Here is a 17047-nt window from a genome sequence, read left to right as displayed (position 1 = left end):
GGTTTCACCATGTTGCTAAAGCTGGTCTCAAACTCCTGACCTCAGGTAGGTGATCCACCTGCCTCGGCCTGCCAAAGTGCTGAGATTACAGGCGTGAGCCACCACGCCCGGCTCCCACACCAACTTTGAATGACAGCAGAATCCAACTCTGGCTCGTGGAGGCGTCCAGAAATTCAGCCTTTCCTCCCAGGTTGAGGCCCCTTCGGACCTGCGCTCCTTAGATTCTTAGTCTACAGTTAAGGATTCCGTGAACTTAGGATGGGAAAAAGTGACACCGTGGAGTTTTACTAATCTCTCGTTGACATCTAGCATTTCTTTCCATGTGTATGTAAGCAGCACACCACAGTAGTAGAGGCAGTTCCTGGGACTTTGTCACCTACAGAAAGCACAGGTAATAAGCCAGGCATGGTGGCTCACGCCTGTAATCCCAGCACTTTGGGAGGCCGAGGCAGGCAGATCACGAGGTTAGGAGTTCGAGACCATCCTGGCCAACATAGTGAAACCCTGTCTCTACTAAAAAAAATACAAAAATTATCTGGGCGTGGTGGCAAGTGCCTGTAATCCCAGCTACTCGGGAGGCTGAGGCAAGAGAATCGCTTGAACCAGGGAGGCAGAGGTTGCACTGAGCCAAGATTGCGCCATTGCACTGAGCCAAGATTGCGCCATTACACTCTAGCCTGGGCAACAAGAGTGAAACTCTGTCTCAAAAAAAAAAAAAAAAGAAAAAGAAAGGAAAAAGAAAGCAAGCACAGGTATTTTCTTCTTCTTCTTTTTTTTTTTTTTGAGACAGAGTCTTGCTCTGTTGCCCAGGCTGGAGTGCAGTGGCATGATCTTGGCTCACTGCAAGCTCAGCCTCCCGGATTCACGCCATTCTCCTGCCTCAGCGTCCTGAGTAGCTGGGACTACAGGCGCCCGCCACCACAGCTGGCTAATTTTTTGTTTTGTTTTGTTTTGTTTTGTTTTGTTTTGTTTTGTTTTGTTTTGAGACGAAGTCTTGCTCTGTTGCCCAGGCTGGAGTGCAATGGCATGATCTTGGCTCACTGCAATCTCCGCCTCCCGGGTTCAAGTGATTCTCCTGCCTCAGCCTCCTGAGTAGCTGGGATTACAGGTGCACACCACCAGGCCCGGCTAATTTTTGTATTTTTAGTAGAGATGGGGTTTCACCATGTTGGTCGGGCTGGTCTCGAAACTCCTGACCTCGTGATCTGCCCACCTCGGCCTCCCAAAGTGCTGGGATTACAGGCATGAGCCACCATACCTGGCTCAATTTTTTGTATTTTTAGTAGAGACGGGGTTTCACTGCGTTAGCCAGGATGGTCTCAATTTCCCGACTTCGTCATCCGCCTGCCTCAGCCTCCCAAAGTGCTGGGATTACAGGCGTGAGCCACTGCGCCTGGCCTTTTTATTTATTTATTTATTTTTTGATATGGAGTCTTGCTGTGTCGCCAGGCTGGAGTGCAGTGGTGTGATCTCGGCTCACTGCAACCTCTGCCTCCCAGGTTCAAGCGATTCTCCTGCCTCAGCCTCCTAAGTAGCTGGGATTACAGGTGCGTGCCACCATGCCCAGCTAATTTTTGTATTTTTAGTAGAGACAGGGTTTCACCATGTTGGCCAGGCTGGTCTGGATCTCCTGACCTCATGATCCGCCCACCTCGACCTCCCAAAGTTCTGGGATTACAGGCGTGAGCCACCACGCCCTGCCGAGGTATTTTCTTATCACGCCACAGTTGTGGAAGATATTTTGGATGTCTTCATGTTCATCATGATTTTGAAATCATGGTAATGCCCGGCACAGTGGCTCACGACTGTAATCCCAGCACTTTGGGAAGTTGAGGTGGGAGGATTTGCTTGAGTCCAGGAGTTTGAGACCAGCCTGGGCAACATAGTGAGAACCATTTCTACAAAAAAAAAAAAAAAAAAACCAGCTGGGCATGATGGCATGCGTCTGTAGTCCCAGCTACTTGGGAGGCTGAGGTGGGAGAATTGCTTGAATTTGGGACGTCGAGACTGCAGTGAGCTATGATCACGTCATTGCACTCTAGCCTGGGTAACAGTGAGACCATGTCTCAAAAAAAAAAAAAGTCGTAGTTATCATGCTCACTGCTGGATCTAGTTATTGAATACATTTATAAAGAATCACCCTTGGCTGGGCATGGTGGCTCATGCCTGTAATCCCAGCACTTTGGGAGGTGGAGGCAGGTGGATCATTTGAGGTCAGGAGTTCGAGACCAACCTGACCAACATGGTGAAACCCTGTCTCTACTAAATATAAAAAAAATTAGCTGGGCGTGGTGGCACGTCTGTGTAATCCTAGCTACTTGGGAGGCTGGGGCTGGAGAATCATTTGAACCCGAGAGGTGGAGGTTGCGGTGAGCAGAGATCGCACCATTGCACTCCAGCCTGGGCAATAAGAGCAAAACTCTGTCTAAAAAAAAAAAAAAAAAAAAAAAAAAAAAAAAAAAAAAAAGAATTACCCTCACACCTGTCATCCCAGCACTTGGGGAAGCTGAGGCAGGAGTATCACTTCTTGAAGCCAGGAGTTTGAGACCAACCTGGCCAACGTAGTGAAACCCCACCTCTACTAAAAATACAAAAATTAGCTGGGTCTGGTGGCTGGCACCTGTAATTCCAGCTACTTGGGAGATTTAGGCAGGAGAATCGCTTGAACCCAGGAGGTGGAGGTTGCAGTGAGCCGAGATTGTGCCACTGCACTCCAGCCTGGGCAGCAGAGCAAGATTCTGTTTCAAAAAATAAAATAAATGTCGGGCATAGTGGCTCACACCTGCAATCCCAGCACTTTGGGAGGCCAAGGCGGGCGGATTACCTGAGGTCAGGAGTTTGAGACCAGCCTGACCAACATGGAGAAACCCCGTCTCCACTAAAAATACAAAATTAGCTGGGCGTGGTGGCTCATGCCTGTAATCCCAGCACTCTGGGAGGCCAAGGCGGGCAGATCACGAGGTCAGGAGATGGAGACCATCCTGGCTAACACGATGAAACCTCATCTCTACTAAAAATACAAAAAATTAGCCAGGTATGGTGGCCTGCACCTGTAGTCCCACATACTCGGGAGGCTGAGGCAGGAGAATCGCTTGAACCCAGGAGGGGGAGGTTGCAGTGAGCCAAGATTGCGCCACTGCACTCCAGCCTGGGCGACAGAGTGAGACTCCATCTCAAAAAACAAAACAAAACAAAAAACAAAACAAAAAAAGAAAAAAAATACAAAATTAGCCAGGCGTCATGGCACATGCCTGTAATCCCAGCTACTTGGGAGAATGAGGCAGGAGAATCACTTAAGCCCGGGAGGCAGAGGTTGCGGTGAGCCAAGATCACACCATTGCACTCCAGCCTGGGCAACAAGAGTGAAACTCCGTCTCAAAATAAATAAATAAATAAAAATAAAAATGCAAAAACCACTCTGAGAAAGGTCCCTGGGCCCCCCTAGACTCCAGGGGCCTGTGGCACAGAAGAGGAAGCAGCCCTGCCCAGCACCAACTACACTCACGGTCACCCCACCAGCCCTCCCTCCTGGCATCCCTGTCTCCACTCCTGTGCCTCAGGTGGCCTGGCACCCCTCCTTAGTGGCCAGACACCTTGAGTGGCCACACGCTGCCATCTGCTGGGGTTGGCCCACACGGCACCCTGGTGGCGCTGGTTCCTGCTGGTCCTTCTGTTCCCTGGGACACCTCTTCCCCAAGGCAGTGGGTGCGCCTGACTGGGAGGAAGTCTCTGGGAGCAGGTCAGCATCAGAGCACAAAACAGGGGTGTCAGAGCTGGAGGCAGGGAAATCTGTAATTTCAATATCAGGTGGAAAGAATCTTTAAGGACAGCTGCTCTTTGAATAGATAAATGAGCACAAGGGACAACATTTCAAAAGGTAAAAAAAAAATGTGAGAAGTTTCTCTCCCACCCTGTCCCTTGGCCTCAAACTCTTTTTTTTTTTTTGAGACGGAGTCTCCCTCTGTGGCCCAGGCTGGAGTGCAGTGGCGCAATCTCAGCTCACTGCAACCTCCACCTCCCAGGTTTAAGTGATTCTCCTGCCTCAGCCTCCCAAGTAGCTAGGATTACAGGCGCCCACCACCATGCCAGGCTAATTTTTTATATCTTTAGTAGAGACGGGGTTTCACCATGTTGGCCAGGCTGGTCTGAAACTCCTGACCTCGTGATCTGCCCGCCTTGGCGTCACAAAGTGCTGGGATTACAGGCATGAGCCACTGTGCCCAGCTGGCCTGCATTTGCTTTTTTATTTAGCAACCTATGCTTTGGAGATTGCTCCTTATCTACATAGAAGTAGCATCCTCGTTTTTTTCTCTTTATTTTTCTCAGATCATTTCCAAAGCAGTCCATTGAAAAATAATGTCTTGGCCGGGCGCAGTGGCTCACGCCTGTAATCCCAGCACTTTGGGAGGCCCAGGCGGGCGGATCACGAGGTCAGGAGATGGAGACTATCCTGGCTAACACAGTGAAACCCCGTCTCTACTAAAAATACAAAAAAGTAGCTGGGCGTGGTGGCAGGCGCCTGTAGTCCCAGCTACTTGTGAGGCTGAGGCAGGAGAATGGCGTGAACCCGTGAGGCAGAGCTTGCAGTGAGCCGAGATTGCGCCACTGCACTCCAGCCTGGGCGACAGAGCGAGACTCCGTCTCAAAAAAAATAAATTAATTAATTAAATAATGTCTTTCCATAGAAACAGGAATACCCAGACATCGTTAGAAATTTCAGGATAGTTCTAGGATTTTCTTACTCACCTCCAAAATTCTAGGGATACTGAGTTGAGTAATTCTGTATTCCTCTGCAGTGGATTTGCATTTCAAAGGGACCTCATAGGACTATGGTGCTTTAACCCCCCAAAATGACTAGATGGTGGAATTTTGGGCAGCAGGATCTGAGGTAGCTTGGTCTCTGGGTAGAGGATTTTATCTGTGGTGTCCCTAAGTCCAGGTGTTAGAGCACCATTTATTTCTGTCTATTCCTCAGTGCTTGATGAGTTTGGTTAGTGTGAGTTGGTCCTCCAGAAAGGGATTCCCTCTGGCACACAGAGCTGAGGGCTGCACTGCAGACCATGCTGAATTCTTAGGTTCAGCGTTCTGGAGCCTGCAAATGAAGCTGACAAAAGACAAACGGCTGGGCTCGGTGGCTCATGCCTGTAATCCTAGCACTCTGGGAGGCCAAGGAGGGCAGATTGCCTGAGCTCGGGAGTTCGAAACCAGCCTGGGCAAAACGGTGAAACCCCACCTCTACTAAAAATACAAAAAAAAATCAGCCGGGCATGGTGGTGTGTGCCTGTAGTCCCGGCTACTTGAGAGGCTGAGACAGGAGAATTGTTTGAACTCGGAAGGCGGGGTTGCAGTAAGCCAAGTTCGCGCCACTGCACTCCAGCCTGGGCAACACAGCAAGACTCCATCTCCAAAAAAAAAGATAAATAAGCAAGAGACATGTTTGCAGGCAGGAGTTTGCAGAAAAATGTGACTCACGGAGGTGGTTAGAATTTGGGGCTTACATATTATCTTCATAGGAGAAGTGAGGGGGAGAAAAGCTACTTATGGGAAAACAAATTACTTTTAGGAGAACTAAATGGGCTCTTAGCGAGAGGATCGCTTGAGCCCAGGAGTTTGAGGTTACAGTGAGCTATGATCAGCTATGATCATGCCATTGCGCTCCAGCCTGGGCAACCAAGCAACACCCTGTCTCAAAACAAACAAACAAAAGAGGCCTTTAGGAGAATAGGTGGAGCTACTTTTGTGACATGTCTGTTTAGGTGATTTCTTAACACTGTGCTGACTTCTCAGTCTTCCCTGCTGCGAAACTCCTGGAAAGGATATTGAGGACAGTTGAATTCTTTTGGGAGGCCCTGCTTTTAGATAGGAGGTATTCAGCGGGGATAAAAGAACAACTCCGGGAGGGCTGAGGTGGGAGGATCACTTGAGCCCAGGAGGTGGAGGTTGAAGAGAGCCGTGATCATGCCACTGCACTCCAGCCTGGGCAACAGAGTGAGACCCTGTCTCAAAACAAAACAAAACAAAAACAAAACAACAACTCTATCCAGTGATACAGATATGCCTCCATTTATGATGGGGTTATGTCCTGATAAACCCATAGGTAAGTTGAAAATATTGCTGAGCATGGTGGCTTGTGTCTGTAGTCCCAGCTACTCAGGAGGCTGAGGCAGGATTGCATGAGCACAAGAGTTCAGGGTGTTAATGCTGTATGCCGAACAGGTGTTCACAGTAAGTTTGGTATCAGTATGGTGACTTCCCAGGAGCAGGGAACTACCAGGTTGCCTAAGTGATCATCCTACTGTGACCATCACACTGTGATGATCACTAGTAGAACGGAGCCTGTGCGTAGCCACTGCACTCCAGCCTGGGCAACATAGCGAGACCCTGTCTCTAAAAAAATCATAAAAAAAGAAAAAAAGAAAATGTCCTAAGACCAGCTGCAGTGACTTACACCTACAATCCTAGTACTTTGAGAGGCTGAGGCAGACAGATCACTTGAGGTCAGGAGTTCAAGACCAGTCTGGCCAACATGGTGAAACCCTGTCTCTACTAAAAATACAAAAAATGAGCCTGGCGTGGTGGCGGGTGCCTGTAATCCCAGCTACTCAGGAGGCTGAGGCAAGATAATTGCTTGAACCCAGGAGGCAGAGGTTGCAGTGAGCCGAGATCGCGCCATTGCACTCCAGCCTGGGCGACAGAGTGAGACTCTGTCTCAAAAAAAAAAAAAAAAGAAAATATCTTAAGTAGAAAATGTATTCAATACACCTAACCTACCAACTGTCATCACTTAGCCTTGCCTGCCTTAAATGTGCTCAGAACACTGACATCAGCCTACAGTTGGGCAAAATCATTTGGCAGGCTGGGTGCGGTGGTCATACTTGTAATCCCAGCATTTTGGGAGGCCAAGGCGAGAGGATTGTTCCAGACCAGCCTGGGCAACATAGTGAGACCCTGTCACCACAAAAAAAAAACGGAAGGAAGGACAGGAGGGAGGGAGGGGCCGGGTGCAGTGGCTCAGGCCTGTAATCCCAGCCCTTCGGGAGGCCGAGGCAGGTGGATGGCTTTGAGACCAGGAGTTTAAGACCAGCCTGGCCAAAATGGTGAAACCCTGTCTCTACTAAAAATACAAAAATCAGCCAGGCGTGGTGGCACATGCCTGTAATCCCAGCTACTCAGGAGGCTGAGCCACGTGAGAATCCCTTGAACCTGGCAGGCGGAGATTGCAGTGAGCCGAGATGGTGCCATTGCACTCTGGCCTGGACGGGCAACAGAGTGAGACTCTGCCTCAAAAATAAAAAAAAAAAAAAAAAGAAAGAAAGGGAGGGAGGGAGGAAAGGAAGAAAGGAAAAAGAAGGAAGGAAGGAAGGAAATCAGAATCCTTGGGCAGCACGTCCACCGCAGAGTGCGGTGCTCACCCAGCGCTGTGGCTCCTGCGGCTGCATCACTGACAGTATCGCCAGTCCGGGAAAAGATCAAAATTCAAAGTTTGAAGTGTGGTCTCTACTGAATGCAGCTCACTTTCACACCGTTGTAAAGTCAAAAAATCATAAGTTGGGGACATGTGTACATTCTGGATCCCTTCACCACGAAGGCACCTCTTCCCAGGCACTGGCCAGGATGGTTGGGGGTGGGGGCGGCAGGGGCTGGGGGTTTGGCTCAGCCTTCCTGAGACAGGCTAGGGAGCTCAGCAAGGGCTGAGTGAGAGAGTAAGAGAGGTGGTTTCCCTCGCAGAGCATGTGCAGGGCTGGGTGGAAAGGGCACCCAGTCAGTGAAGTGGCCAAGGGCACACACGCCAGCACAGACTGCCCGGGTTCCCTGTGTGTCCTTGAACAGGATCCTCAACTTCTCCCGGCTTCCTTTTCCTACTTGGGTAAAAACCTCACAGGTTATCATGAAGATAAAATTAGAAAACCCATTTGAAATGTTTAACAACACCTGGTATCTAGTAAGTGTTTGGTTAATACAGGTAACTTCTCTAGGAACCGGGGACGTAGCAGCGAGCAAAGCCAAGTCCCTGCTCTCCTGGATCTTGCATTCTGGGGGAGGAAGTGCTAAGACACATGGATGTGTGCCACTGTCAGATGATGGTGCCACTGGGGAGAACATGAAGCAGGATGAGGGGCAGTGAGAGGCGGGGACTGATTTGGAGGGTCAGGGCAGGGGCATTTGGGCAGGGAACAGAATGAAGTGGAAATTATAGGAATTATGGTTATATGATTTTTTTTCTTTTTTTTTTTTTTTTCTGAGACATGGTCTCACCCTGTCACCCAGGCTGCAGTGCAGTGGCATGATCTCCGTTCACTGCAACCTCCACCTCCCAGGCTCAAGGGATCCTCCTATCTCAGCCTCCGGAGTTGCTGGGACTACAGGCGCAGACCACCACGCCCAGCTATTTTTTGTATTTTTTTTGTTAGAGACGGGGTTTCACCATATTGCCCAGGCTCCTCTCCAACTCCTGGACTCAAGCAATCCACCTGCCTTGGCCTCCCAAAGTGCTCGGATTACACGGGTGAGCCACTGCGCCCAGCGTGTATGATTTTTAAAAAAGAATTTTTAGGGTAAAGCAGGCCTTAATTCTCATAGATTTTGCTAACTTTGTTTATATATATAGATTGAGACAGGGTCTTGCTCTGTCACCCAGGCTGGAGTGCAGTGGTGCAATCTCAGCTCACTGCAGCAGGACGAGCCTATTTCTGTCTGTGAAGTGAGTGGGGCACATGATCCCAGGCTCAAGCGATTCTCCCACCTCAGCATCTGCAGTAGATGGGACCACAGGTGTGTGCCACCACACCTGGCTAATTTTTGTATTTTTTGTGAGATTGGGTCTCACTATGTTGCCTAGGTTGGCCTCGAACTCCTGGGCTTGAGCAAGCTTCTCGCCTCGGCCTCTGAAAGTGCTGGGATTCACAGCCCTTGGCCTACTCCCTCCCCGCCCTGGCCCCTGCCTCAAGGCATAGATTCAAGTTGCCCTGAACATGCACTCTCTTCCTGCTCACTAATCAGCCCTCTTCTTGTCTGAATTTCCACCAGACCGTGAAGGGGGACCGAGTCTTGGTGGTTCACGTGGCTGACTCTCCACAAACGGCTGTAGGACAAGCATGTTTCTGTCTGTGAAGTTAGTGGGGCGCGTGCACATGGGGTCCCTGGTTCTGAAATTTGTTAGGGTGGAGGATTTTTCTGGCCTTGGTCTTTCTTCCATTCCACTTCACAATTCCACACCACCACAGAACGAAGGTCAGGACACCGTTTACCTCCTACGTGTTCTGTCCCTCCGGAGCACACTTGTGCTCGGGGAAACTGGCTGACCGGTGGCCACGGGGTGAGGCGTGAGCAGCACGGACCAGAATAGAAGGTCTAAATTTAAACTGTGACTGGAGGCTTCAGGGAGCCAGGCCGGCCAGCAGGCTCTCCAGGCGGGTAGCTCTGCCCCGCCTGCAGCCACACCCTCCTGCGCCCTCCCAGAGTGGAAACTGTTTCATTTCTGGCTGCTGAGAACTGGTTTCCTCCCAAGGAAATTATGTCTCACCGCAGTTGTGGCAGGAGCTGCCCTCTGGAATTTCCCTGCAGCGATGAAACACCTCCTGGATGAGCTGCTGTTAGATGGGACACGCCCAGAGCCTGCTAGTGCACAACCCAGAGGGAGACACACCCACACACAGATATAAACAGAAACACTGGAACCCCTCCGCAGGATGCGGCCGCGGGGACCCTCGGGAAGCCGCTGCAGCCCCGGATCTGCTCTGTCTCCTTCCTCCTGTGCTGCAGGAGGGGGTCAGCTGCTCTTCCTGAACCTGTTTGCACCTCTACAGTCTTGAGAGAGATCTTTTAAAAATCAAAATAGAACAGAACTTCAAAGGAATAATCCTAGAAAGTTGTGATTATTTCAAAGATGTTGCTTTCACTGTTCAAAATATTTTATTTTTAAACTTGTTTTAAAAAATATTCTTTTCAGGGCTGAGCACAGTGAGTCACGCCTGTAATCCCAGTACCTTGGGTGGCCGAGGCGGGAGGATCACTGGAGGCCAGGAGTTCAAGACCAGCCTGGGGAACATAGGAAGACCCCCGTCTCTACAAAAAATAAAAAAATTAGCTTGGCGTGGTGGCACGAAGCTGTAGGTGGGAGAGTCACTAAAGTCCAGAGGTCGAGGATGCAGTGAGCTGTGATTGCACCACTGCACCCCAGCCTGGGCGACAGTGAGACCCTGTCTCGAAAAACAAAAATTCCTTTCAGAACCTGTTTTTGGAACATACAAGTTGGCCTTGCCACATTTCCAGTCTATTTCATTTTTGTCTTGAGTGATCACTACACTTGGTACCAAGACACTTTGTGCTGGTTCCAAATAACGAATTTAAAAGATTCCTGCAAGAAGAATGAGAAGGCTGCCGGGCGCGGTGGCTCACGCCTGTAATCCCAGCACTTTGGGAGGCCGAGGTGGGCAGATCACGAGGTCAGGAGATCGAGACCATCCTGGTTAACACGGTGAAACCCCGTCTCTACTAAAAATACAAAAAATTAGCCGGGCGTGGTGGCGGGCGCCTGTAGTCCCAGCTACTCAGGAGGCTGAGGCAGGAGAATGCGTGAACCCGGGAGGCGGAGCTTGCAGTTAGCCATTGCATTCCAGCCTGGGCGACAGAGAGAGACTCTGTCTCACAAAAAAAAAAAAAAAAAAAAAAAAAAAAAAAAAAAAAAAAAAAAAAAAAAATTGCCGGGGCGTGGTGGTGCATGCCTGTAATCCCAGGTACTTGGGAGGTGGGAGGCTGGGTGGGGCACAAGAATCACCTGAGCCTGGGAGGCAGACGTTGCAGTGAGCTGAGATGGCGCCATTGCACTCCAGTCTGGGCAACAAGAGCGAAACTCTGTCTCGAGCAAAAAAAAAAGAATTACCCTCAAGGCCGGGCGTGGTGGCTCACACCTGTAATCCCAACACTTTGGGATTCTGAGGCGGGTGGATCACCTGAGGTCAGGAGTTCGAGACCAGCCTGACCAATATGGTGAAATCCCGTGTCTACTAAAAATACAAAAATTAGCCGGGTGTGGTGGTGGGTGCCTGTAGTCCCAGCTACTCGGGAGGCTGAGATGGGAGAATTGCTTGAACCCGGGAGGTGGTGGGTTGCAGTGAGCCGAGACCATGCCACTGCACTCCAGCCTGGGTGACAGAGTGAGACTCTGTCTCAAAAAAAAAGAGCAAATGCTGTCACTGTGGTCAAATCCACCCAATGCCCAAAGCTGGCCCCCAGAGACGGACAACCACCGTGGAAGGGCAAGCTCCACTCCCTAAATTCTCAGCCATGAGCCAGGTCCTGCTAGAGCCTTGAACAGTCCAACACTCAGACACAGAGCGCACACGAGCGCACGTGCGCTCACACACACACACACACACACACACAGAGCCAAATGGAAACTTCCCATTTCAGCCACAATCTCCAGAGGCAGCAGTGTGTCAGGTCCCCAGCCACACCTCCTGGGCTTTTGTGCACCCTACGACTGGAGGCCAGAGGCTACCCCAGACTGATCAGGTCGGGGTGGCCGCAGCCCTGGATGCCAGCCATGCCAGCTCTGCGTTAGACTCCAGGAGTAGAGAGAATTCTAAGGGGACACACACTGGGTTGCCTGGCAACACAGCAGTGCTGCACAGGGACGCACCCACATTGGGACAACACACTCATACTGTTTGGGCACAAACAGAATTGCAGGAAGCAGGGTGGCCAATGCGGCCCCTCTCCAAGCAAATGTGTCTGTTGGGAATAGCCTCCAAGACAGAACCAGCTGGTGAACTGAAGAGCCCACTCATCTGCCCCCCAGAACACTTCCCCGGATTTGGACAGTGTCCAGGCAAGGCCCCCAACTCCCAGTCACTCCTCAATAACACACACTCTTTCTTGAGCGCTCAGTTGAGACTCCTTGCCTCTTTTTGTTTCCCCCGGAAAACCTTTGTCTTTTCCATTTTAATCAGCCAGTGACCAAACGGTCTATTTCTGTAACTTCTAAGTAGTAGCCAAGGATTGTTTTGAAATATCTACAGTAAGTTACAAATAATGCCTCTGACGTTTGTTTTCTTTTCTTTCTTTTTTTTTTTTTTTGAGACAGAGTTTCGCTCTTTCTGCCTAGGCTGGAGTGCAGTGGTGCCATCTCAGCTCACTGCAACCTCCGCCTCCTGGGTTCAAGCGATTCTCCTGCCTCAACCTCCCAAGTAGCTGGGATTACAGGCGCACGCCACCAAGCCTGGCTAATTTTTATATTTTTAGTAGAGACAGGATTTCACCATAGTGGCCAGGCTGGTCTTGAACTCCTGGTCTCAAGTGATCCACCCACTTCGGCCTCCCAAAGTGCTGGGATTCCAAGTGTGAGCCCCCACGCCTGGGCTCGTTTGTTTTCAAATTCATCCATGGAAACACTAAACACTCCAGCCTAAGTGGCTGGGACTACAGGCACACGAAAACAATTTTTAAAATTCACAGAAGAGGCCGGGCATGGTGGCTCATGCCTGTAATCCCAGCACTTTGGGAGGCCTGGGGGGGGGTGGATCTCCTGAGGTCAGAAGTTCAAGACCAGCCTGGCCAACATGGTGAAACCCCGTCTCTACAAAAAATACAAAAAAACAGGCCAGGCGCGGTGGCTCACACCTGTAATCCCAGCACTTTGGGAGGCCAAGGCAGGCGGATCACCTGAGGTCGGGAGTTCGAGACCAGCCTGACCAACATGGAGAAACCCCATCTCTATTAAAAATACAAAATTAGCGGGGCGTGGTGGAGCATGCTGGTAATCCCAGCTACTCGGGAGGCTGAGGCAGGAGAATCGCTTGAATCTGGGTGGTGGAGGTTGCGGTGAGCCAAGATTGCGCCATTGCGCTCCAGCCTGAGCAACAAGAGCAAAACTCTATCTCAAAAAAAAAAAAAAAATTAGCAGGGCGTGGTGGCGGGTGCCTGTAATCCCAGCTACTTGGGAGGCTGAGGCAGAGAATGTGAGGCCACCCTGGCCTCACATTTATTTTATATAAGTTTTACATGACACAGGAAGCTTTGTAAATGAAAACCCAAAGAAACAGGTGAGAGAAGAAAAGAGCTTTTATCTGAGGAATCTGAGTCCTTTTCAGTTATCAGGCCCAGAGTGACATTAAAATGAGCCAGCAGGCTGGACGTGATGGCTCACGCTTGTAACCCCAGAACTTTGGCAGGCTGAGGCGGGGAGATCAACTTGAGGTCAGGAGTTCCAGACCAGCCTGGCCAACATGGTAAAACCCCATCTCTACTAAAAATACAAAATATTAGCTGGGTGTGGTGGTGCATGCCTGTAATCCCAGCTACTCAAAACGCTGAGGCATGAGAATTGCTGGAGCCTGGGAGGCGGAGGTTGCAGTGAGCTGAGATGGCAACACTGTGCTCCAGATGGGGCGGCAGAGAAAGGATGTCTCAAAAATAAATAAATAAATAAAACAAAAACCCACTTCTAACAAAGGTCAAAGAACTCATATCCAACGTTGCTTGGGTCTGAATCTATCAAGCAGCTGTCCTCACTTTGGCTCAAGTAATCACTTTAAATTATGTGTGTGTGTGAGAGAGAGAGAGTGTGTGTGTGTGTGTGTGTGTGTGTGTGTGTGCATGTATGCATGTATATAGATAGGGTCTTGCTCTGTTGCCCAGGCTGAAGTGTAGTGAGTGGCACAGTCATGGCTCACTGTAGTCTCCACTTCCCAGGCTCAAGCGATTCTCCCACCTCAGCCTCCCTAGTAGTTGGCCCTACAGGCAGGCGCCACTCTGCCTGGCTAACTTTTTCTGTAGAGACGAGGTCTCATATTGTTACCCAGGCTGGTCTCAAACTCCTGGGCTCAAGCAGTCTTTCCACCTCAGCCTCCCAAAGTGCTGAGACGACAGGCATGAGCCACTGTGCCCAGCCTAACCTGTGTATTTTTTTTTCTTTTCTTTGAGACGATTCTTGCTCTGTCACCCTGGCTAGAGTGCAGTGGTGCGATCTGGGCTCACTGCAACCTCCACCTCCTGAGTTCAAGCGATTCTCCTACCTCAGCCGCCAAAGTAGTTGCCATTACAGGCGCCCACCACCGCGCTCGGCTAACTTTTGTATTTTTAGTAGAGGTGGGGTTTCACCATTTTGGCCAGGCTGGTCTCGATCACCTGACCTTGTGATCCACCCACCTCAGCCTCCCAAAGTGCTGCGATTATAGGCGTGAGCCATCGCACCCGGCCAACCTGTGTATTTTTTACGTTAGGTTTGATGATGCAGTGTATAATCGTGGAGAAGTTTGGTTTGATAAATAAATATGATCTAATGGCAGTAAACTGGTGGGGGAGGGGGGTGCGTGAGACTTAGCAAGGCCTGTTTGTTCAGAGTCTTGTCTGTGTCCCTGTCTCTTTGGAGATAAGGCTGTTCCTCTCCTCCGGGTATCGGGAGGGCATCTCTGGAATGAGACTCTTACGACCTGCTTTAGAGGAGCAGGGTGAGATGGTGAGAGCCCTTTCTGCTTCTAGGGTTTTCCAGATGCTGAGGTGCTATATTTTGGGGTGGTATGTCCTAAGCTCCATCAATTCTGTCCCCTTCTTGGGATGTTTCCAAGCCTGTGTTGGTTTGGGTGAGATAATCTGGTTTCCAGAGGCTATGGCGGCCTCTCCAGTGCTGTCACCCCACAGGACTGACCTAGGGACACCTTCAGGGCTACACATGGCCATGCAGATCTTTCCCCCTTCCATCCCCTTTTCCCCTCCTCCCCCACTTCCTTCCCTCCCTGGAGCAATGACCCTTAGTGAACTGGGACCTCTGTGGACCCCACTGGGAGACGTCAGCCTCTGGAAGTTCCTTGGTTCTGCGCCCTTCGCCCCTTCCCTCTGGCGTTTCTGCCCTTGGATGCCTTCTCTTGCCAAGTCACACTCAGCCCTTCCTCCCAAAGATCAAATTCCTTCCTTCCCTCCCTCAACTTTTCTTTCTATTCTCCCTGATTTTACCTGAAAAGATTAATCAGCGCCGTGCCAAAGATGGAAATAAACCAAAACTCCACTAGATTTTTTTAATTAATTTTTTTTTTTGAGAGAGAAGGTCTCACTCTGTCACCCAGGCTGGAGTGCAATGGTGTAATCTTAGCTCACTGCAGCCTCCACCTCCTGGGCCCAAGCAATCCTCCCACTTCAGCCTCCCAAGTAGCTGGGACCACAGGTGTACACCACCACACCTGGCTAATTTTTAAATTTTTGTAGACATGGGATCTCCCTATGTTGCCCAGGCTGGTCTTGAACTCCTGGCCTCAAGTGATCTGCCTGCCTCAGCCTCCCAAAGTGCTGGGATTACAGGTGTGAGCCACCAGGCCCGGCCTTAATTTTAATTTAATTTAATTTTTGAGACAGGGTCTCCCTTGGTCACCCAGGCTGGAGTGCAGTGTTGTGATCTCAGCTCACTGCGGCCTCAACCTCCCAGGCTTAAATGATCTTCCTGTCTCAGCCTTCTGAGTTGCTGGGACTACCACGCCTGGCGAATTTTTCTATTTTTTGTAGAAACGGGGTTTCACTATGTTGCCCAGGCTGGTCTCAAACTCCTGGGCTCAAGTGTTCCTCCCGTCTTGGCTTCCCAAAGTGTTGGGATTACAGGCATGAGCCACCACGCCCGGCCCAGTTTTAATTTTTAATTTTTTTTTTGAGATGGAGTTTCGTTCTGTCGCCCAGCTGGAGTGCAGTGGTGCGATCTTGGCTAACTGCAACCTCCGCTTCCCGGGTTCATGCGATTCTCCTGCGTCAGCCTCACAAGTAGCTGGGATTACAGGCTCACACCACCATGCCTGGCTAATTTTTTTTTTTGTATTTTTACTAGAGACGGGGTTTCACTATGTTGGCCAGACCGGTTTTGAACTCCTGACCTCGTGATCCACCCGCCTCAGCCTCCCAAAGTGCTGGGATTACAGGCGTGAGCCATCATGCCCGGCATTTTTTTTTTTTTTATCCACCTGCCTTGGCCTCCCAAAGTGCTGGGATTACAGGCGTGAGCCACTGTGCCCAGCCTAGAAGGGGCTTTTTTAAAGAATAGGGGCCGGGCGCGGTGGCTCACGCCTGTAATTCCAGCACTTTCGGAGGCCGAGGTGGGTGGATCACCTTAGGTCAGGAGTTTGAGACCAGGTTGGCCAACATGGTGAAACCCCGTCTCTACTAAAACACAAAAATTAGCTGGGCATGGTGGCGGGTGCCTATAATTCCAGCTACTCGGGAGGCTGAGGCAGGAGAATTACTTGAACCCGGGAAGCGGAGGTTGCAGTGAGCCGAGATCACGCCACTGCACTCCAGCCTGGGCAACAAGAGCAAAACTCCGTTTCAAAAAAAAAAAGAAAAAAAAAAATAGGCCACCAGCCAGGCACAGTGGCTCACACCTGTAATCCCAGCACTTTGGGAGGCCGAGGCGGGCAGATCACCTGAGGTAAGGAGTTCAAGACCAGTCTGGCCAACATGGCAAAACCCCATCTATACTAAAAATACAAAAATTAGCCTGGTGTGGTGGTAGGCACCTGTAATCCCAGCTACTCGGGAGGCTGAGGCAGGAGAATTGCTTGAACCCAGGAGGCGAAGGTTGCAGTGAGCCAACACTGTGCCATTGCACTCTAGCCTGGGCAACAAGAACAAAACTCCGTCTCCAGAAAAAAAAAAAAAAGAATAGGGCACCAAGGAGAAATATGGAGAATGTGTGAGCTGGCAGATGAATCAACGATGAACCAGATGGTTAATAAGAGAAGAAAATCTTCAGCCTCTTTAATACTCAACACAAGGCAAAGTAAAACCATTTGAGATAACATTTCTCCTTTCACCTATCAGATTGGCAAATGAGTATCACTTAGAGAAGAGGCTTTCTCACTAATTACTTCTAAGAATGTATAAAATGGGAAGAGCATTTTTGGAGGAAAATTAAGCCTTTAAATTACCAATTCCTTTTGACCAGTCATTTCCACCCCTAGAAATTATTCTGGAAGGAATATTTAAGACGTCCAAAATGCAGCAACAAAAATGTTCATTGCAGTATTGTTGCTAAAACAAAAAGAAAAAAAATGATTTGTAATTTTCTCTT

General features: G+C 50.0%; 1 pseudogene, besides 4 other annotated features; it reads left to right on the top strand.

The window, feature by feature from the left end:
• Nucleotides 5377–6130: an enhancer, noted in NCBI's record as "NANOG-H3K4me1 hESC enhancer chr2:232510968-232511721 (GRCh37/hg19 assembly coordinates)". NCBI's record gives its function as "activates a minimal SCP1, AML or CMV promoter by ChIP-STARR-seq in primed H9 embryonic stem cells {active_cell/tissue: H9 hESC(primed)}" and the evidence as "EXISTENCE:reporter gene assay evidence [ECO:0000049][PMID:30033119]".
• Nucleotides 6114–6389, top strand: RN7SL499P (RNA, 7SL, cytoplasmic 499, pseudogene; annotated as a pseudogene).
• Nucleotides 8846–8985: an enhancer, noted in NCBI's record as "active region_17300". NCBI's record gives its function as "activates an Ori minimal core promoter by ATAC-STARR-seq in GM12878 lymphoblastoid cells {active_cell/tissue: GM12878}" and the evidence as "EXISTENCE:reporter gene assay evidence [ECO:0000049][PMID:35858748]".
• Nucleotides 9166–9235: an enhancer, noted in NCBI's record as "active region_17299". NCBI's record gives its function as "activates an Ori minimal core promoter by ATAC-STARR-seq in GM12878 lymphoblastoid cells {active_cell/tissue: GM12878}" and the evidence as "EXISTENCE:reporter gene assay evidence [ECO:0000049][PMID:35858748]".
• Nucleotides 9276–9335: an enhancer, noted in NCBI's record as "active region_17298". NCBI's record gives its function as "activates an Ori minimal core promoter by ATAC-STARR-seq in GM12878 lymphoblastoid cells {active_cell/tissue: GM12878}" and the evidence as "EXISTENCE:reporter gene assay evidence [ECO:0000049][PMID:35858748]".

The sequence above is a fragment of the Homo sapiens genome, chromosome 2, assembly GCF_000001405.40.
Source record: "Homo sapiens chromosome 2, GRCh38.p14 Primary Assembly".
NCBI lineage: Eukaryota > Metazoa > Chordata > Mammalia > Primates > Hominidae > Homo > Homo sapiens.
Note: the sequence above shows the minus strand (reverse complement) of the source record. Positions and strands in the feature narration are given on the sequence as shown.